The 20,335-nt window shown below is 43.9% G+C and overlaps 1 protein-coding gene across 5 annotated transcripts in view; it reads right to left on the reverse strand.

Moving 5' to 3' along the window:
• The window catches only part of FBXO42 (F-box protein 42), a 105,641-nt gene that overhangs the window by 29,052 nt on the left and 56,254 nt on the right, over positions 1 to 20,335 (reverse strand). For all 5 annotated transcript variants that reach the window (NM_018994.3, XM_047422747.1, XM_047422750.1 and 2 more), the window contains one exon: positions 18,892 to 19,026. In NM_018994.3, the coding sequence (NP_061867.1) occupies positions 18,892 to 19,026 (135 nt within the window). The remainder of the gene's footprint in view (positions 1 to 18,891; positions 19,027 to 20,335) is intronic.

Consider the following 20,335-nt stretch of genomic DNA (forward strand, 5'->3'; position numbering starts at 1 on the left):
GCTACTCGGGAGGCTGAGGGAGGAGAATTGTTGCCAAGAACAGCCTTGGCAACAGAGTGAGACCCCGTCTCAAAATAAATAAACAAAAAAGGGCAAAGGAGCCTCCTAGAATTCAAGGTGATATTTATAAGTCAATAAACGACCCATCACAGCTCTTACCCACCTAGGAACAGCACATCTCCTCACAGTTATGAAAACTGGAAAACTTGGCAGGGTGCGGTGGCTCACGCCTGTAATCCCAGCACTTTGGGAGGCCGAGGTGGGTGGATCACGAGGTCAGGAGATCGAGACCATCCTGGCTAACACGGTGAAACCCCGTTCTACTAAAAATACAAAAAATTAGCCGGGCATGGTGGCATGCACCTGTAGTCCCAGCTATTCGGGAGGCTGAGGCAGGAGAATGGCGTGAACCCAGGAGGCAGAGCTTGCAGTAAGCCGAGATCACACCACTGCACACCAGCCCGGGCGACAGACCGACACTCTGTCTCAAAAAAAAAAAAAAAAAGAAAAGAAAAGAAAAGAAAACTGGAGAACTTGAGAAACTGGCCTGATCCTAATTACATAGAAACTAAACAGCCAAACATTGAGCACGAGCCATGAATTGGTCCATGGCACTACCAAGTGTCCTTGAAACCAAGAGGGTCATTCCTGGGAAGCAGAAGTTAGAAATGACTCAGGGATAGTATCTTGCGTTCCTCTCCCATTTAGAATTAGCCTCTTATAACTACATTTAGGACATAAAGTTAATCTATATAGCATTGGAGATATACAAGGATAAGGCATCATATGAAATGAAATTTATTGTGGTAATAAAACATGAAGTACTGTTAGGAGATTACATGGATACCTGAGAATAAGAGAAACAATGCTAGATGATTTGAGACTTTTACTCCATGGGGGAACCCAAGAGTAAACAAAAACTGTCCAGATGGTAGGCAGACAGGATCACAGCATGTAGATTTGAAAGCTGAGAATTCTAAGAAATGTCACTGCTTATTTTCACTGACACTACTAAAATAAGAAGGTTTTATTTTAGATGGTTTTAAGAAAGAATAGAAAAGTCTCATGAGTTTGACCCAATGACTACAAGTTAAAGGAGGCAGGATTTTCAACATGGAGGAGAAATAGCTAAGGACAGATATTAATACATTTTGGTAATAAATACATTTGGTAATCAAGGAAAGATCTGTGAGTAGAACTGGATTGTCTCATTCACAAACAAAATACTAAAACAATGAGATCAATCACTCGTTTTTAAGACAGAATAGAAGCTAGGAGTATATTTGAAAGGCACGTGTGTCCTCTTGTTATACTGTCTGATATTCAGCAGTTAATCATCATCCACTTCTTCCCCATTGCCACAAGATTTGGCATTCTCCTAACACATTTGCATATTATAATTTTAAAAATGTATAAAGTGCTTAGTGCAAAACAATATTAAAAAGCAGAATCGAATAGTGACAAGCACATTAATACATCATTCTTTTTTTTTCTTTTTTTCTCCTCCCTGCCCCCACTACTAATATATTATTTTTAAAAATTCCATATCCAGGCTGGGCATGGTGGCTAATGCTTGTAATCCCAGCATTTTGGGGGGCCGAGGCAAGCGGATCACTTGAGCTCAGAAGTTTGAGACCAGCCTGGCCAACACGGTGAAACCCTATCTCTACTAAAAATACAAAAACTAGCCGGGCGTGGTGGTATGCACCTGTAATCCCAGCTACTCAGGAGGCTGAGGCAGAAGAATTGCTTGAATCCAGGAGGCGGAGGTTGCAATGAGCCGAAATTCGCCACTGCACTCCAGGCCGGGTGACAGAGCGAGATTCTGTCTCAAAAAAAAAAAAAAAATTAAAAAATTCCACATCCAGGCTGGGCGTGGTGGCTCAGGCCTGTAATCCCAGCACTTTCGGAGGATGAGGCAGGAGGATCACTTGAGCCTAGAAGTTTGAGACCAGCCTGGGCAACAGGGCAAGACCCTGTCTCAACAAAAAATTTAAAAAATTAGCTGGGCTTGGTGGCATATGTCTATAGTCCCAGCTACTAGGGAGGCTGAGGCAGGAGGATCACTTGAGCCCAAGAGGTCGAGGCTGCAGTAAACCATGTTCGTGCCACTGTACTCCAGCCTGGGTGATGGAGTGACACCCTGTATCAAAAAATAAATAATTTTTAAAAATCCACATCCAGGCCAGGCGTGGTGGCTCATGCCTGTAATCCCAGCACTTTGGGAGGCCGAGGCGGGCGGATCACCTGAGGCTGGGAGTTTGAGACCACCCTGACCAACATGGAGAAACTCCATCTCAACTAAAAATACAAAATTAGCTGGGTATGGTGGCACATGCCTGTAATCCCAGCTACTCGGGAGGCTGAGGCAGGAGAATCGCTTGAACCCGGGAGGCGGAGGTTGCAGTGAGCCGGAGATCACGCCATTGCACTCCAGCCTGGGCAACAAGAGCGAAACTCCATCTCAAAAAAAAAAACAAAAAACAAAACAAAAAAAACCACATCCAGCTGTTTCAATGTTAGCACCGACGTTTGGGACCTGAGCCAAAGGATGGACTGGGAAATCTTTTCCCAGAATAGACTACTGTCTTTTTTATTTTTATTTTGTTTTGTTTTTTGTTAGAATAGACTCTACTGTCAGCTGCTTTAGTTATACCTGGTACCAGGTATCAGTCCCAGACTCCCTTGTTTAGACATTTCCTGGTGATATTACCACAGGCTCAGGGAAGATAACCTAAGATTAAGCTTTTCCACTAGACACATGACAGTAAGCTTCATTAACGGGACTGACAGCCCCATATGTAACCTTTTTAAGGTATCATTTACACTGTAAAAGAAACAGTAATATTCTGGACAGTTATTTCTAGACAGTTATTTCTCTTTTTTTCTTTTTTTTTGAGACGGAGTTTCGCTCTTGTTGCCGAGGCTGGAGGCTGGAATGTAATGGCGCAATCTTGGCTCACCACAACCTCCGCCTTCTGGGTTCAACCGATTCTCCTGCCTCAGCCTCCCGAGCAGCTGGGACTACAGGCATGTGCCACCATGCCTGGCTAATTTTGTATTTTTAGTACACGGGGTTTCTCCATGTTGGTCAGGCTGGTCTCGAACTCCCGACCTCAGGTGATCTGCCTGGGTCGGCCTCCCAAAGTGCTGGGATTACAGGCATGAGCCACCGCGCCCAGCCTAGACGGTTATTTCTGAACAGTTCTAGCACTGGTCGTGCTCCCTATCCAATTTTTAAGGATATCCTGTGGTCTTCCTACTGACATGTGATATGACCAATACTTTTTCCTGCCCCCACCTCCGAAAGTAAATTAGCTTTTCTGCAAGATTACTCAGTGATTTTGGAAGATATTGTTCTTTTAGAGAATAGCCCTAAAAAAACAAAATTATTTCCAACGGAGCTTCTAACTCTGGATAGCTTGAAAGAAGGGAGGCTGAGGCAGGATGACTGCTTGAGTCTAGGAGTTTGAGGCTGCAGTGAACTAGGACCTATGACTGAGTCACTACACTCCAGCCTGGGCAACAGAGTGAGACCCCATCTCTTGAAAAGCAAACAAACAGGAAGAGATATCTTGTCTACATCTTGTCTAGCATCCTGCTCCTCACCAAAAAAATTTTAAAAGCAAATCATGTTGATATCTAAAAATTCTCTAAGCTGTGAAAAAGTTTCTTCAAATGATATACCCTCTTCTCATTATCCTTTCCTGACTCTAATGATAAACATAATAGTCAAATAGCTTAGTTATTCCCCTAAAATTCAATGGAACATCGAGAACCAAGGGCAATTACAAATGGGTAAAAGAGAATAACAGGAAAAGAAAGCAATAGACTATAAAAAAGAATTACAAGGCAGAGAAAAGAGTAACTCTACAGTGGAAAATCAAATGTATACTATTTCAACCAGGTGATCCTGGTTAATAGAAACAGTGAAAAATCATGTTGACAATGGTTTTTTTTTTCTTTTTTTTTTGAGACAGAGTCTTGCTTTGTTGCCCAGGCTGGAGGGCAGTGGTGCAATCTTGGCTCACTGCAACCTCTGCCTCCCTGGCTCAACTGATTCTTGTGCCTCAGCCTCCTGGGTAGCTGGGATTACAGGCCTGTGTCACCACACCTAGCTAATTTTTGTATTTTTTAGTAAAGACAGGGTTTCTCTATGTTGGCCAGGCTGGTCTTGAACTCCTGGCCTCGAATGATCCACCTGCCTTGACCTCCCAAAGTGCTGGGATTATAGGCGTGAGCCACCACACCAGCCAACAATATGTACTCTTGATCTGATGTGATGAGAATGGCATTATATCTCCACGGTCTTCTTCCCAAAAGCCATAACTCCAGTCTAACCATAAGATAAACATCCAAGTTGAAGAGTGGTCTATAAGATACCTGACCAGTATTCCTCAAAACTGTCAAGATAATCAAAAACAAGTTAACTCTTAGAAACTGTCACAGCCAAAAGGAGCCTAAGGAGACAAAAAGCCTAAATGTAATGTATCAAGGATGGGATCTTAGAACAGAAAAAGGATGTTATGTTAAAGAAAGAAATCAGAAAATCTGAATAGTGTATGCATTTTAGTTAATAATAACGTACCAATATTGGTTTATCATTATTCAATGGCAAAAACCGCAATTACTTTTGCACCAACCTAATAATTGTCACAGTGTGCTATACTAATACAAGATGCTAACATTAGGGAAACTGGGTGTCAGATATATGGAAACTCTCTCTGTTCTATTCTAAAATAAAACACTATGTTAGCACCTGAAGTCCCAGCTTCTTGGGGGCTGAGGAAAGAGGATCACCTGAACCCCGGAGGTCAAGGCTGCAGTGAGCCAACATCCGCCACTGCACTCCAGCTTGGGAGAGAGAGTGAAACCCAGTCTCCAGAAAAAAAAACAAAAGAAAAGAAGAACGAAAACTACTCACAGCATGGCTTAGTAGAAAGAACACAAACTTTAGAGACAAAATCTTGGGTTTCAATCCTTGCTCCATCACTTACTGGCTATGTGATTTTAGGTAAATTACCAGGTGATTGTGAGCTTTGGTTTCCTCACTTGTTGTGTGTGTGTTTGTTTTTGTTTTTGTTTTTGAGACAGAGTTTCACTGTTGTTGCCCAGGCTGGAGTGCAATGACACGATTCTCAGCTCACCGCAACCTCTGCCTCCCAGATTCAAGCAATTCTCCTGCCTCAGCCTCCCGAGTAGCTGGGATTACAGGCATGCACCATCACACCTGGCTAATTTTGTATTTTTAGTAGAGACGGGGTTTCTCCATGTTGGTCAGGCTGGTCTCGAACTCCTGACCTCAGGTGATCCGCCCGCCTCGGCCTCCCAAAGTGCTGGGATTACAGGCGTGAGCCGCAATGCCCTGCCTCGGTTTCCTCATTTGTAACATGGAGATAATTATAGTATCATCCTATTGAGTTGATATGAAGGTTAGATAATATGCATAAAGAATCTGGGCGAACCAGCACCTCATCCCTAACAACCTCTCAAGGTCCACGTACATCTCCTGGGACAGTATGCCACTCATGACTAACTGGGTTTGTAAAAGGTGGCTATTTCTTTTCTTTTTCTTTTTTTGTTTTTTTTTTTTTTTGAGATGGAGTCTCGCTCTGTCACCCAGGATGTAGTGCAGTGACAGAACATGGTTCACTGTGACCTCTGCCTCCCAGGTTCAAGCAATTCTTGTGCCTCGGACTCTTGAGTAGCTTGGACTACAGGTATGGATCACCATGCCTGGCTAATTTTCTTTTTTTCTTTTTCTTTTTCTTTCTTTTTTTTTTTTGAGACGGAGTCTCACTCTGCTGCCCAGGCTGGAGTGCAGTGGCAATCTTGGCTCACTGTAACCTCCACCTCCCGGGTTCAAGCGATTCTCCTGCCTCAGCCTCCTGAGAAGCTGGGATTACAGGCGCACATCACCACATTCAGCTGATTTTTGTATTTTTTATTAGAGACAGGGTTTCACATGCTGGCCAGGCTGTTCTCAAACTCTTGACCTCAAGTGATCCTCCTGACCTCAAGTGATCCACCAAGTGAAGTCACTTGACCTCAAGTGATCCTCGACTCCCAAAGTGCTGGGATTACAGGTGTGAGCCACCATGCCTGGCCAAAGGTAGCTATTTCTACAAAGCAGCCACTGAGAGCACAGAGTGGCTATGTTGCTTCCTAATGATAGCTGAGGAATCCAGTTTAGCACATCACATACTCACCTAATTTACTGTAATAACACTGAGAGAGCTCACATATTATACAGTAAGACTGCAAGAAGATATCATAGGGCTCCAGGATTTCAAAATTTAGCTATGTTTAGAATCAACTGAGACATTTTCTTTTTTTTTTTTTTCTTTTTTTTGAGACAGAGTCTCACTCTGTCCCCCAGGCTGGAGTGCAGTGGCGCGATCTCGGCTCACTGCAACTTCTGCCTCCTGAGTTCAAGTAATTCTCCTGCCTCAGCCTCCCAAGTAACTGGGATTACAGGCGCCCACCACCATGCCCAGCTAATTTTTGTATTTTTAGCAGAGACGGGGTTTTGCCACGTTGGCCAGGGTGGTCTCGAACTCCTGATCTCAGGTGATCCACCCGCCTCGGCCTCCCAAAGTGCTGTGATTACAGGTGTGAGCCACTGTGCCCGGCCATTTTCTCTTTTAAAAAAAAAAAAAATGCTGATCCATGACCAGGTGCAGTGGCTCATGCCTAAAATCCTAGCAGTTTGGGAGGCCAAGGTAGGAGGACAGCTTGAGGCCAGGAGTTCAAGACCAACCTGGGCAACACAGTAAGACCCCATTTCCATTTTTAAAAATGCTGATCGGCTGAGTGCAGTGGCTCATGCCTGTAATCCCAGCACTTTGGGAGGCCAAGGCGGGCAGATCACCTGAGGTCAGGAGTTCGAGACCACCCTGGCCAACATGGTGAAACCCCGTCTCTACTAAAAATACAAAAATTAGCCGGGCGTGGTGGTGGGTGCCTGTAATCCCAGCTACTCAGGAAGCTGAGGCAGGAGAACTGCTTGAACCCAGGAGGCAGAGGATGCAGTGAGCTGAGATCACACCACTGCAGGCCAGCCTGGGTGACAGAGTGAGACTCCGTCTCAAAAAAAAAAAAAAAATGCTGATCCACCATCTTATCCCCAACTCCTGAGATTAGGTGAGTCTGCTATGGGGCCAAGGAACCCACAGTTTAGGTAAGCTTCTCAGGTGATCTGAATAAAGGTGATCTGTTATCCAATTTTTATGAACAGTAATTTTGTCTCTTCTTCTTTTTACAGGAAAGAAAATTGAGGCCCAGAGAATGCAAAAAATGATTAAATTCAGAGGCAAATAACTGAGAAGTAGCAAGGCCAAGAACAGGCATCTAGGTTACACATCTCTATCTTCGAGTGCATTTTTCTAAAACAAAGGGCTTGGACCCACAAACCATCACCTGGAATTGCATGTGTGACTGAAAGGGAGGAAACTGCAAAGAAAAAGAAAATCCTTGGGAAAGACAATTCTGTGGGGAGAATGTGGTGGGAAAATCAACTGTGCTCCAGTACCAGTTAGTGAAAATGACAGACTGAGCTTTAAATCTTTACCTGGCATTTATAGACTCTTCTAACTGTGGCAAGTTTTTTTTTTTTTTTTTTTTTTTGAGACAGTCTCGCTCTGTCGCCCAGGCTGGAGTGCAGTGGCACAATCTTGGCTCACTGCAACCTCCACCTCCCGGGTTCAAGCAATTCCCTGCCTCAGCCTCCCGAGTAGCTGGGATTACAGGCACCCACCACCATGCCCAGCTACTTTTTGTATTTTTAGTAGACACGGGATTTCACTATCTTGACCAGGCTGGTCTTGAACTCCTGACCTAGTGATCCACCTGCCTTGGCCTCCCAAAGTGCTGGGATTACAGGTGTGAGCCACCGTGCCTGGCCTGTGGCAAGTTTTAAAACTGAAATTTGTTCCCTTTTTGCAAATGGGTTTGGGTTAATCTCTAAGCAGTTTTGAAAATCAGAATACTCCAGTTTTAATTTAAATGTAAAATTTCTACTTGAAAACTTCTATCTTGATTTAAAGTAACCGAAAAAGGCAGTATGACTTACGTTGACTCTGTATTAAACAGATGCCAAAATCAGTCTGAGTTTGAATAAAGGGTAATTTATTTCAGAAACAGTGGTTTAAACATTAGTCTTTCAAAGCACCTGTCCCAAGAACTGCTCATTTGTTTTGGGAATTGAACAAAGGCTAAGTCATACAAATCTGATTAAGAATTAAGGTGTTACCTTCAGACAATACTAGAAGGTGAAACATTCAACTTTCTAGAACCATTTGGCAAAGACTACAATGTACATAATTATACATTCACAATTACTGGCCAGGATTTCCAATGGTTTCTGTTCTACCCTCAATTATTTTACCTGAGTCATAAAGCGATCAATAGAGAACTTCCACCAGGATCCACTGCATCTACCCACTCACCAGCACCTGCAATCACATATTCCCTTTTGTTCATACAGATACACAATGTTCTTATCTCAGGCCAATGTCTCCATTTGATTCAGTGTTTCTCACTACTTGAAGATATTGCTCTAACAATTCTCCCCCTCTATCCACATCAACTTCTCCCCTCAGGAAGATCATTCCCATCAGCATACATGTATGCTATAAAATCTGTCATCTTAAAAAAACGAGCTGGGCGTGGCAGCTCATGCCCATAATCCCAGCACTTTGGGAGGCCAAGATGGGCAGATCACAAGGTCAGGAGTTCAAGACCAGCCTGGCCAAGATAGTGAAACCCCATCTCTACTAAAAATACAAAAAAATTAGGCCAGGCGCAGGGACTCATGCCTGTAATTCCAGCACTTTGGGAGGCCAAGGCAGGAGGATCATCTGAGGTCGGGAGTTTGAGACCAGCCTGACCAACATGGAGAAACCCTGTCTCTACTAAAAAATACAAAATTAGCTGGGTGTGGTGGTACATGCCTGTAATCCCAGCTACTTGGGAGGCTGAGGCGGGAGAATCGCTTGAACCCGGGAGGTGGAGGTTGCGGTGAGCCAGAGATTGCACCACTGAACTCCAGCCTGGGCAACAAGAGCAAAACTCTGTCTCAAAAAACAAAACAAAACAAAAATAAAGTTAGCCGGGCGTGGTGGCACGTGCCTGTAATCCCAGCTACTCAGGAGGCTGAGGCAGGAGAACTGCTTGAACCTAGTTGGCGGAGGCTGCAGTGAGCCGAGATCGCACCCCTGTACTCCAGCCCCGCGACACTGCAAGACTCATCTCAAAAACAAACAAACAAACAAAAAACACAACGAACATCTCAATTCTACATCTACCTCCACTTAGCACCTCAGCTCCTTGCTCTCCTTTAGCAAAATTCCTCAAAAGAAAAAAAAAATCAATGTATTGTTTATACTTAATGCCTTTAACTTCTGTCTTCCCATGCTCTGTTGCCCAGGCTGGAGTGCAATGGTGCAATCTCGGCTCACTGCAACCTCCGCCTCCTGGGTTCAAGTGATTCTCCTGCCTCAGCCTCCTGAGTAGCTGGGATTATAGGCAGGCGCCACCATGCCCAGCTAATTTTTGTATTTTTAGTAGAGACGGGGTTTCACCATGTTGGTCAGGTTGGTCTCGAACTTCTGACCTCCTGATCTGCCTGCCTTGGCCTCCCAAAGTACTGGGATTACAGGCATGAGACACCATGCCCATCCTGTCTTCCCATTTTCTAAAATGTATTACAAACTGGCTTCCATCTTTATCACTCACCCCACAAGCTTTCTTTACTAAATTTAAGGGTAATTCTCAGTCTTTACATGACTTGACCTCTTCGCTGCATTTGATGCAGCTGATTATTTCCTCCTTTCCTGGAAACGCTTTCCTCATATGCTGGCTTCCCAGATGCCACATTCTCCGATGTTCTCCTTCCTTACTGGGTGCTCCTTTTCGAGTCCCCTGATTTCCAAATGCTGGAGTCTCCCAGACTCAATCCTTACACCATTCTCTTTTTTGTTTTTGTTGTTCTTTTTGAGATAGGACTTGCTTCGTCACCCAGACTGCAGTGCAGTAGCGCAAACATGGGTCACTGCAGCCTCAACCTCCTGGACTCAGGTGATCCTCTCCCCTCACCCCTGCCCGCCTGCATCAGCCTTCCGAGCAGCTGGGACTATAGGTTCACACCACGCCCAGCTAATTTTTTTTTTAATTTTTTGAGGAGATGGCCAGGCTGGTCTCAAACCCTTAGGCTGAAGCAATTCTGCCTCAGCCTCCCAAAGTGCTGATTTTACAGGCGTGAGCCACCATGCCTGGCCTTTATACCATCCTCTGTCTTCACTCAGTCCCTTGGTAATCTCATGCAGTCTCATAGCTTTAAATCCATCTGGATTAGTCTATTCTCACAGTGCTATGAAGAAATACCCAAGACTGAGTAATTTATAAAGGAAAGAGGTTTAATTGACTCACAGTTCCGCATTGCTGGGAGGCCTCAGGAAAATTACAATCATGGCAGAAGCCAAAGGAGAAACAGGCACCTTCTTCCCAGGGCAGCAGGACGGAATGAGTGCAAGCAGGGGAAATGCCAGACAATTATATAACCATCAATAACTCACTCACTATCATGAGAACAGCATGGGCGAACCACCCCCATGATCCAATTACCTCCACCTGGTCCTGCCCTTGACACATGGGGATTATGAGGATTACAATTTGAGGTGAGATTTGGGTGGGGACACAGGGCCAAACTATATTACTAACTAATAGGCTAATGAGCCCTACATGGCTACCTCCAGCCTGTGTGTCTCCCCTGAACTCCATATACATATATCTCCACCTGGATGTCCTAATAAGCGTCTCAAACTCAATACGTTTCAAGTGGAATTTCTCATCTCTCCTGCCCCTTGCCAACCTTGATCACCCAGTCTTCCCCATCTCAGTTAATGAAAATTCCACCCTTTCAAATGCCCAGGATAAAAACCTGAAGAGTCATCTTGATTGCTTTCTTTCTCTTTCCTACTCTACATCCAAAATATGAGCAAATCCCTTTGGCTCTATCAAATCCACCCAGTTCTTACCTTTTGTGAATACTTTACTCCAAGTGCCTATCATTTTCAGCCTAGATTATGCTACCACCTTTTAACTGGTCTCCTTGCTTCCATACTTGCCCTCTTCTCAGAAACCTACACAACTAGCCATTCTATTCAGTGAATATGACAATGTCCTTACAACAGCCAGAAAGCCACACATATGTGATACATCCCTTTCATTTTCTGTCCAACCTCCTCTCCTTTGTTCACTCTGCTCCAGTCACAATGGATTCCTCAGTATCCCTTGACTATATCAAGCACACTCCCAACTCTGGGTCTTTGCACTGATTATTCTCTGTTTGAAACATTCGTTTCTCAGATACCCACATGGCTCACTTCTTGTACCCATCAAGTCCTTGTTCTAATGTCGCCTTCTCTCTGATTCTCCTAGTTATAATCCTCCTAGCCATACTGTAGTTTCTCAATAGCACTTTCCATCCTCTAACATACTGTTATATATTTGTCATTTTTAGTATCTGTCTTCCTTCATTTGAATGTAGTCTCATTAGGGCTGAGATGTTTGTCAGTTATTGACTCATGTGTCCCTGGCATATAGAACAATACCAGGGGGGCAATCCATGAATATTTGTTACATGAACAAGTGAAGGATGAGAGAAGAATTTAACTGAACAGAAGGACTGTAGAGTCATTTATTTTTTATTATTTTTGTAGAGATGGGCTCTTGCTATGTTGCTCAGGCTGGTCTTGAACTCAAGCCATCCTGGCCTCAGAGTGGCCTGGCCTCAAGCCATCCTCCCACTCAGCCTCCTGAAGTGCTAGGATTACAGGTGTGAGCCACTGTGCCTGGCCTGTGCTGTCATTTAAGGGAAGTCAGGCCCTTTGTTTTCAGTGTCAAACTCTCGGCCAGGCACAGTGGCTCATGCCTGTAATCCCAGCACTTTGGGAAGCCGGGGCGGGTGGATCGCCTGAGGTCAGGATTAACCTCAGGTGATGAAACCCTGTCTCTACTAAAAATACAACGTGATGAAACCCTGTCTCTATTAAAAATAGCCTGGCCAACGTGATGAAACCCTGTCTCTACTAAAAATACAAAAAATTAGCTGGGTGTGGTGGTGGGCGCCTGTAATCTCAGCTACTTGGGAGGCTGAAGCAGGAGAACCACTTGAACCCAGGAGATGGAGTGAGCCGAGATCATGCCATTGCACTCCAGCCTGGGAAACAAGAGTGAAACTCTGTCTCAAACAAACAATAATAATAGGCCGGGTGCAGTGGCTCAAGCGTGTAATCCCAGGAGGCCGAGGCAGACGGATCACGAGGTCAAGAGATCGAGACCATTCTGGCCAACATGGTGAAACCCCATCTCTACCAAAAATACAAAAATTAGCTGGGCATGGTGGCACATGCCTGTAACCCCAGCTACTGGGGAGGCTGAGGCAGAAGAATCACTTGAACCCGGGAGGTGGAGGTTGCAATGAGCCCAGATCGCACCACTGCACTCCAGCCTGGTGACAGAGCGAGACTCCATCTCAAAAAAAATAAAAATAAAAATAAAAATAATAATAATAATAATAAACAAATGTCAAACTCTCATAACAATGAATTACTAGATACTACTACTTAAACATTTAATAGGAACCAAAAACTAACCTCTCCCAAATATTTATTTTCCACTTCAGCAAATGGCCCCACCATCAACGTAGCTGTATAAACCTGAAACATAAGTCACCCTTGATTGGCCTTCTCATGCTCCTAAATCTAATTCATTAAGAAGTCTTGGCCGGGCGCAGTGGCTCATGCCTGTAATCCCAGCACTTTGGGAGGCCAAGGTGGGCGGATCACTTGAGGTCAAGGGTTCCAGACCAGCCTGGGCAGTATGGTGAAACTCCACCTCTACTAAATATACAAAAATTAGCCTGGTGTGGTGGCACACTGCTGTAATCCCAGCTGCCTGGGAGGCTGAAACACAAGAATTGCTTGAACCCGGGAGGCAGAGGCTGTAGTGAGCTGAGATTGCACCATCATACTCCAGCCTGGGTGATAGAGTGAGACTATGTCTCAAAAAAAAAAAAAAAAAGTTTTGTCAGTTTCTTACTGATATATGCTCATCTGAGTCTTGTCAATATTGATGGCCTTCTGTCTAGTCTGGTTTACTTTCTTGCCTTCCTTCATTTCCTAAATAGAAGCAAAATGTGCTCTAAAATGTAAATTGAGGCAGGGAAGGGCAGTGGCTCATGCCTGTAATCCAGCACTTTGGGAGGCCAAGGCAGGAGGATCATTTGAGGCTAGGAGTTGAAGACCAGCCCAGGCAACATAGTGACACCCTAGTTCTACAAAAAAAAAAGAAAGAAAAGAAAATGTCCCGATGTGGGGGTGCAAACCTGTGGCTCCAGCTATGCAGGAGGCCGAGGTGGGAGGATCACTTGAACCCAGGGGTTTGAGGCTATAGTCAATTAATTATGATTGTGCCACTGCACTCCAGCTTTGGCAAGGGAGCAAGATTGTCTCTTTAAAAAAAAAAAAAAAAGTAATCCAGATGATGACATTCCTCTCATTAAAATCTCAAAGGTTTCTGAGTCCCCACCTTAGTCTGTGAATAAGCTTGCTCCTGTCTTTATCTCAACTCCCCCTGTGCCACTCTCTCCCCTGCTCCTTAGGCTACATCCACAAAGGTCTGCTTTAAGCTCCTCTAACATGTCCTTTTCTTTGCTGCACCAGGCACATGCCATTCTCACTTCCCTCCACTATCATTCTTTAGGTCTCAGCCAAAAACAAACAAACAACAACAACAAAAACAAACAAACAAAAAGTCTCCTGTTTAAAGTAGGTCTCCCCTAACAGCATGGGCAACATAGTGAGACCCCATCTCTACAAAACAATACAAAAATTAGCCAGGCATGGTGGTGCACGTTTGTATTCGCAGCTACTCAGGAGGCTAAGGCAGGAGGTCGAGGCTACAGGGAGCTGTGACTGTGCCATTGCACTCCAGCCTGGATGACAGAGTAAGACCTTGTCTCAAAAAAAGGAGCTCTCCCCTTATTCTATACTTCATTCCGTTTGTTTCCTTCATAATTTATAACAATTTGCTTACTTGCTTCTTGTTTCTTTCCCGTTACAATATAAGCTCCATGAGGGCAGGGGCCACAAAAGCAGGTGTAAATGGGAGGAGGTGTTACCTTGTTGGAAATGTCTGAGAAGTACTAGCTGTGGGTCTCTTTTAGTGTAAGATCTGTCATCCCAACACTCGTCACCACTCTACCTCCAATACCACTCTTCCTCCAGATGGAGCACTTCTATCATTTTGAAAGGAACTAAAGACAAGATTTCACTGGGAAATTACATTAATTCCAACTGGTATAGATGGAATTGTGTCCTCCACCAAATCCATATGGTGAAGCCCTAACGCCAAGGTGATGCTATGGTGGAGATGAAGCCTTTGGAAGACAATGAGGTTTAGATGAGGTCATGAGGGTAGCCCTCATAAGATGAATCCCCTTATAAGAAGCACAAGAAGCTGGGCACAGTGGCTCATGCCTGTAATCTCAGCACTCTGGGAGGCTGAGGTGGGTGGATCACCTGAGGTCAGGAGTTCAAGACCAGCCTGGCCAACATGGTGAAACTCCGTCTCTACTAAAAATACAAAAATTAGCCAGGCATGGTGGCACACACCTATAATTCCAGCTACTCGGGAGGCTGAGGCAGGAGAATTGCTCCAACCCAGGAGGCAGAGGTTGCAGTGAACCAAGATCGCACCACTGCACTCCAACCTGGGTGACAGAGTGACAAAAAAAAAAAAAGAAGCACAAGAGATGCCAGAGCTCACTCTCTGCTACATGAAAACACACTGAGAAGGTGGCAGTCTGCAAACCAGGAGCTGGGAAGAGAATCCTCACTAGAAGCCAACGATGCCAGATTCTCATCTTGAATTTCCAGCCTCTAGAACTGTGAGAAATACATTTCTGCTGTTTAAGCTACCCAGTCTATGGTATTTTGTATGGCACCCTGAGCTGACTAAGACACCAACCAATAGGAGAATGCTCTAATCTCATAACCACATAACCAAATACACATGTAAAAAGACATCTGATGCAGCAGTATTCTCTATCAAGACTCTCCACTCCCAACCAAAAGTGTTCCACTCCTTGCTTGATGCTCTTACTTCTCCAACAGCTACACTTTTGAAGTCTGAACACTGTTAAAGCAACTATTACCTTCCTGTACATACTCTGTTAGAAGACAACCTCACAACTGACAGTGCCCTCCCCTCAGTCACCCTCCAATCTACCTACCTCGATGCACTAAAATGAGTGAGTCAGGTACACCAAGACTTATAAACAACTATGTTTTATTCAGAAGGACTAATTGACATTTCAGTTAGGAAGTGATTTTGATTAGGACTCATGATAGCATACAGAAACATTGTCTTAGGGCATCTTACATGGGGTTTCTGCCTAAATGAGAATCTCATGGGACTTTTTTTTTTTTAATTTATTATTTTATTTTGAGACAGTCTCACTCCGCCACCCAGGCTGGGGTGCTGTGGCGCAATCTTGGCTCACTGCAACCTCTGCCTCCTGGGCTCAAGTGATTCTCATGCTTCAACCTCCTGAGTAGCTGAGGTTACAGGCACATGCCACCATGCCCTGCTAATTTTTTGTCTTTTTAGTAGAGATGGGGTTTCGCTATGTTGGCCAGGCTCGTCTGGAACTCCTGGCCTCAAGTGATCCTCTCACCTCAGCCTCTCGAAGTGCCAGGATTGTAAGCGAGAGCCACCAAGCCCAGGCTATTTTTTGAGACAGGGTCTCCCTCTTTCACTCAGGCTAGAGTGCAGTGGAGCAATCATCACTCACTGTAGCCTTGAACTCCTGGGCTCAAGCAATCCTCCCACCTCAACCTCTCAAGTAGCTAGGACTACAGGCACATGCCATCATGCCCGGCTCATTTTTAATTGTTTTGTAGAGACAGGGTCTCACTATGTTACCCAGGCTGGTCTCAAATTCCTGGCCTCAAGAGATCCTCCTGTCTCAGCCTCCTAAAGTGCTGGGATTAGAGGAGTGAGCCACTGTGCCCAGCCAGGACTCTTTATTAAACAATTGTTTTTTATAAGTAGACATTTCAAAAAGCTCAGGTTTTCCTCCTTCTAAAACTAGCCTCTAATTGCAGATTAGGATGAGGGAGTAACTAGATTCTTTGAGACATTTTGTTAGAAAATTACTTTAAACATTCAGGAGTTTGTATGTTTTGTCAAAGGGAATATTCCAAATGCTCTATTTTTAAAAATTCATATTCCATAGAGAATGTAAATGATTGAAGCAGTTATTTCTCCAATATTTCTACTTTGGGAATTTCAAAGCATAACCTTTTCTTTGGCTTCCCTCCCTCCCTTCCTGCCTTCCTCTTTTCTTCCCTTCCTCTCTTTCTCTTTCTTTGTTTCTTTTTTTGAGACACAGTCTCACTCTCGCCTAGGCGTCTGGGCTTATATCTGTGGGCTCAAGCAATCCTCCTGTCTCACCCTCCCAAGTATCTGGGACTATGGAGGCATGCCACCATGCCTGGCTAATTTTTTGTTTTTATTTTTTGTAGAGATGGGGGTCTCACCATGTTGCCCAGGTGAGTCTCAAACTCCTGGCCTCAAGGGATCCTTCTGCCTTGGCCTCCTAAAGTGCTGGGGTTATAGGCGTGAGCCACTTCGCCTAGCCACAAAGCAGTCTTTAAACTTGATGGTTTAAAAAAAAAAAGTCTTACTCCATATTACAGGGAGAAATAAGCACAGTAGTTGGCAGAGGCTATGAAGGTCCCCAAACCAGAGCTCCATTTTAACAAGAAAGAGCACCACCCATGCTAAATTATCAAAGGCATAAAGCTTGTTTACAAAATAAAGACAGTAATAGTATTTTGTGACTGAAACTATCAAAGCTCCTCTGAAATAAGACCTGTACAAGATCCCAAGCATGGTGGCAATAGGATGCTTAAGCTGAGAAGATCTTCTATATTTTAGAATCCATAACTCAGCTGAGACTGCAGTAAGCTGTGACTGTGCTACTGTACTCCAGCCTGGGTGACAAAGCAAGATCTTGTCTCAAAAAACAATACAAAACAAAACAGAAGCTGTAACTCCAAATATTAATCAATTTGCACTAAGTGCAATATGGTATAAAGGGCTAGAAAAGGTTATTCTCCAAAGTACAAAATTCTCAGGGCCCTGAAATAGTTCTAGCTATCAAACTTTTTATATGATTACCATTTCTTTATTATTCCAATAGTTTTTGTGGAGACTTGCTCTGTTGCCCAGGATGGAGTGCAACCTCCACCTCCTGGGTTCATGAGATTCTCCTGCCTCAGCCTCCCAAGTAGGTGGGATTACAGGTACCCATCACCATGCCCAGCTAATTTTTGTATTTTTAGGAGAGACAGGGTTTCATCATGTTGGCCAGGCTGGTCTCGAACTCCTGACCTCAGGTGATCCGCCCGCCTTGGCCTCCCAAAGTGCTGGGATTACAGGCGTGAGCCAGTGGGCCTGGCTTGTAGGTTTGTTTTTGTTTTTGTTTTTTATGAATGGCACAAACGGCCTTTATTGGTTGTGACAGGAAGTGGAAGAGAAGGGGATATAATAGCTCCTCCTCCTGGTGTGGCCATCTGCAGACTGGACCACCACCCTCCTACCCTCCAAATGCCAATAATTTTAATAAAGAACTTCATCTACACAAAGCCCAGCTCCACCCATGGTATCCACTCAGTAGGCTCCTCCTATATTTGCCTAATGTAGGTGGAAAGAACAGGAACTTAAGTTTTAGGGAAGCAAAATGCAGCTTCTTCTCATAAACAGGTTTAAGTCCCTGGCCTAGACATTCACAGTAGCGGTTATAGAAAGGGAAACATAAACTAGCCTTTTTAGCCCATTTAAAAATAGTCATTTAGTACTACTCCACATTTCTCCCAGAGAAGTGCAATAACTTATTTATAGTTACATGGAGAATTGGTGACTATGCCAGGAAATGAAACTCATGTCCCCTCACTCTTAGTCCAGTGCCCTTTCTAATATACAATGATGCCTCCTATCTGGTAATCAAAGTAGTAAGGCAAGGCCTAAATAAATAAGGAACTTGCCCAATGGAAACCCAAATGTCCTTAGTCCTAAGACTGAGTCCTAATACTAAAAAGCCAAATGAATGTTTTGGGAAAAGCTTGCCAAAAAATCTAGCAGAATACTTTATACTCAGTGGACACTATTTCTCCATCACACCAACCCCTCCAATCTATGCCTCCTCAAATTGCCCTGCCTCATGAGTGCAAAAACCATTGTTTTTATTTTTTCCCCCAGGAGAGGTTAGGTCAAAAATAAGAAAATAATCTAGTTTCTTTCTGCCAGATTTCTGGCATAGTGGGACTGGGTAGGAATGTACCTACTGTAGAATCTTCCCACACCCCTGGGTTGTTAAGAGTAACTAGCAGAGGCACGTCCCATACACTCCCCAAATATCTGAGCTGGCAACAACAACAGATATTCAGAGACCTTAGCCCTAGGACAATAGCTTCTGTCAGTCAACTACAGTTCTCACGACTCTGTGTTTCTGTTCTTACTTCAACCTCCTACCAAATGATGTATCACACCTGTATGAGTATACTTGAGAAAACCATGCAAATGAATTCACACAGCAGTACAGCAATTTTGGCAGGGCACCATTACTAATGATAAAGTATAATTTAACAAAAAACAAAGACTTACACAAGCATATTACTATTATCATTTACATGGCACATTAAACTTAAGGACCTGAGTCCCAGTAACCCATCCTTGAGACCAACACCAAAAATGATCAGGTAGAGTTTCCATGCCAAGGGAGTCACCTGGTAAGGAGGCAAAGATCAGCATTTCATCTCTTACCTGAAGCCAAAGGTCGGATCCACTCTTTGCTGTTTAGGTCAAGTCTCCAGAGGTCATTGAAAGCAGCATTGCAGCTGCTCTGGGTACAGCCTCCAAACACATACATAGACTGATTAGCATCATAATAGCATGCACCTAGAAAGAAAATACACAAATAACTGCTGTGAAAATTCTGAGGCCCTTCCAACATTTTAACCATAACATATATTTTTCAAAGCTTATTTCACACATTCAGCAATTTTGTTACCAAGTACCAAATTTCTATTACCAGCCTCTTGTCTCCAAGTGGATCAATATATTACCCTTTAAAACAAGGTCCAGAGGAAAGCTATGAAAATTTTATTTCTGAGCACACTAAGCAAGTTGACAATGATGTAACAGTGTAAGTCCAGCAAGAACACATAATAATTCACATTAAAGGTGCTCAAATGAGGGAAATTTCAGCACAGCTACATAATTGATCTAAATCTGCATCATTATCCTCTAGAGCTAAGCAAAGGTATGCCAACACATGTACTCTGTCCTCCCATTCCTTTCCTCCAATTCTCCTATTGTTTTTGTTTTCAAATTAAACCTGAAGCACAAATCAATAAATGAATCTTTTTTTTTTCTTTCTTTCTTTTTTTGAGATGGAGTCTCCCTCTGTCAGCCAGGCTGGAGTGCAGTGGCATGATCTCGGCTCACTGCAACATCTGCCTCCCAGGTGCAAGCGATTCTCCTGCCTCAGCCTCCCAAGTAGCTGGGATTACAGGTGTGCACCACCACACCCAGCTAATTTTTTTGTATTTTTAGTAGAGATGGAGTTTCACCATGTTGGCCAGGCTAATCTCGAACTCCTGACCTCAGGTGATCCACCCGCCTCGGCCTCTCAAAGTGCTGGGATTACAGGCATGAGCCACCATGCCCGGCCAATAAATGAATCTTTATATGACACACAATGAAATGATTTTAATCAATACTATGAAGTAACCACACATAAAGTCCAATGTGATTGAAGAAATACAGTTTTTATTAATTCCAAAGGCCAGTGGGGGAAACTCAATAGTAGTATGGTCTTGGACTAGTCCCAAAGCAACAGATTGAAAAAGCATGGAAATCATTAAGTCCCAATATGTATCCAAGAGCTACCAAGGCATGCTGGTTGGAGCCGACTAGAAAACAGAACGGTAACATTTAAAAAACACCAGGATCTCTAAAAAAAGCCTTCTTTGATTAGATGATTGTATACACATCACCAGGCATTCCTAAGAAAAAGAGGCAATGACTATCAGAAGGGCTGTTACCCAAAAACTACAAAGACCAAAGCCAGAGTCTAGAAAAGATGCATGAGTGCTAAGTTCTGCCCCTTGCGGTCTCTATCCTTTGGAAATGACGATCACATTCCTTACAGTCTTGCATTTGCCATCTTGGATTTCAGGAAGAGGCCCAAGCAAAGCTTTCCTTG

Source organism: Homo sapiens, chromosome 1 (assembly GCF_000001405.40).
Source record: "Homo sapiens chromosome 1, GRCh38.p14 Primary Assembly".
In the NCBI taxonomy this organism is placed as follows: Eukaryota; Metazoa; Chordata; class Mammalia; order Primates; family Hominidae; genus Homo; species Homo sapiens.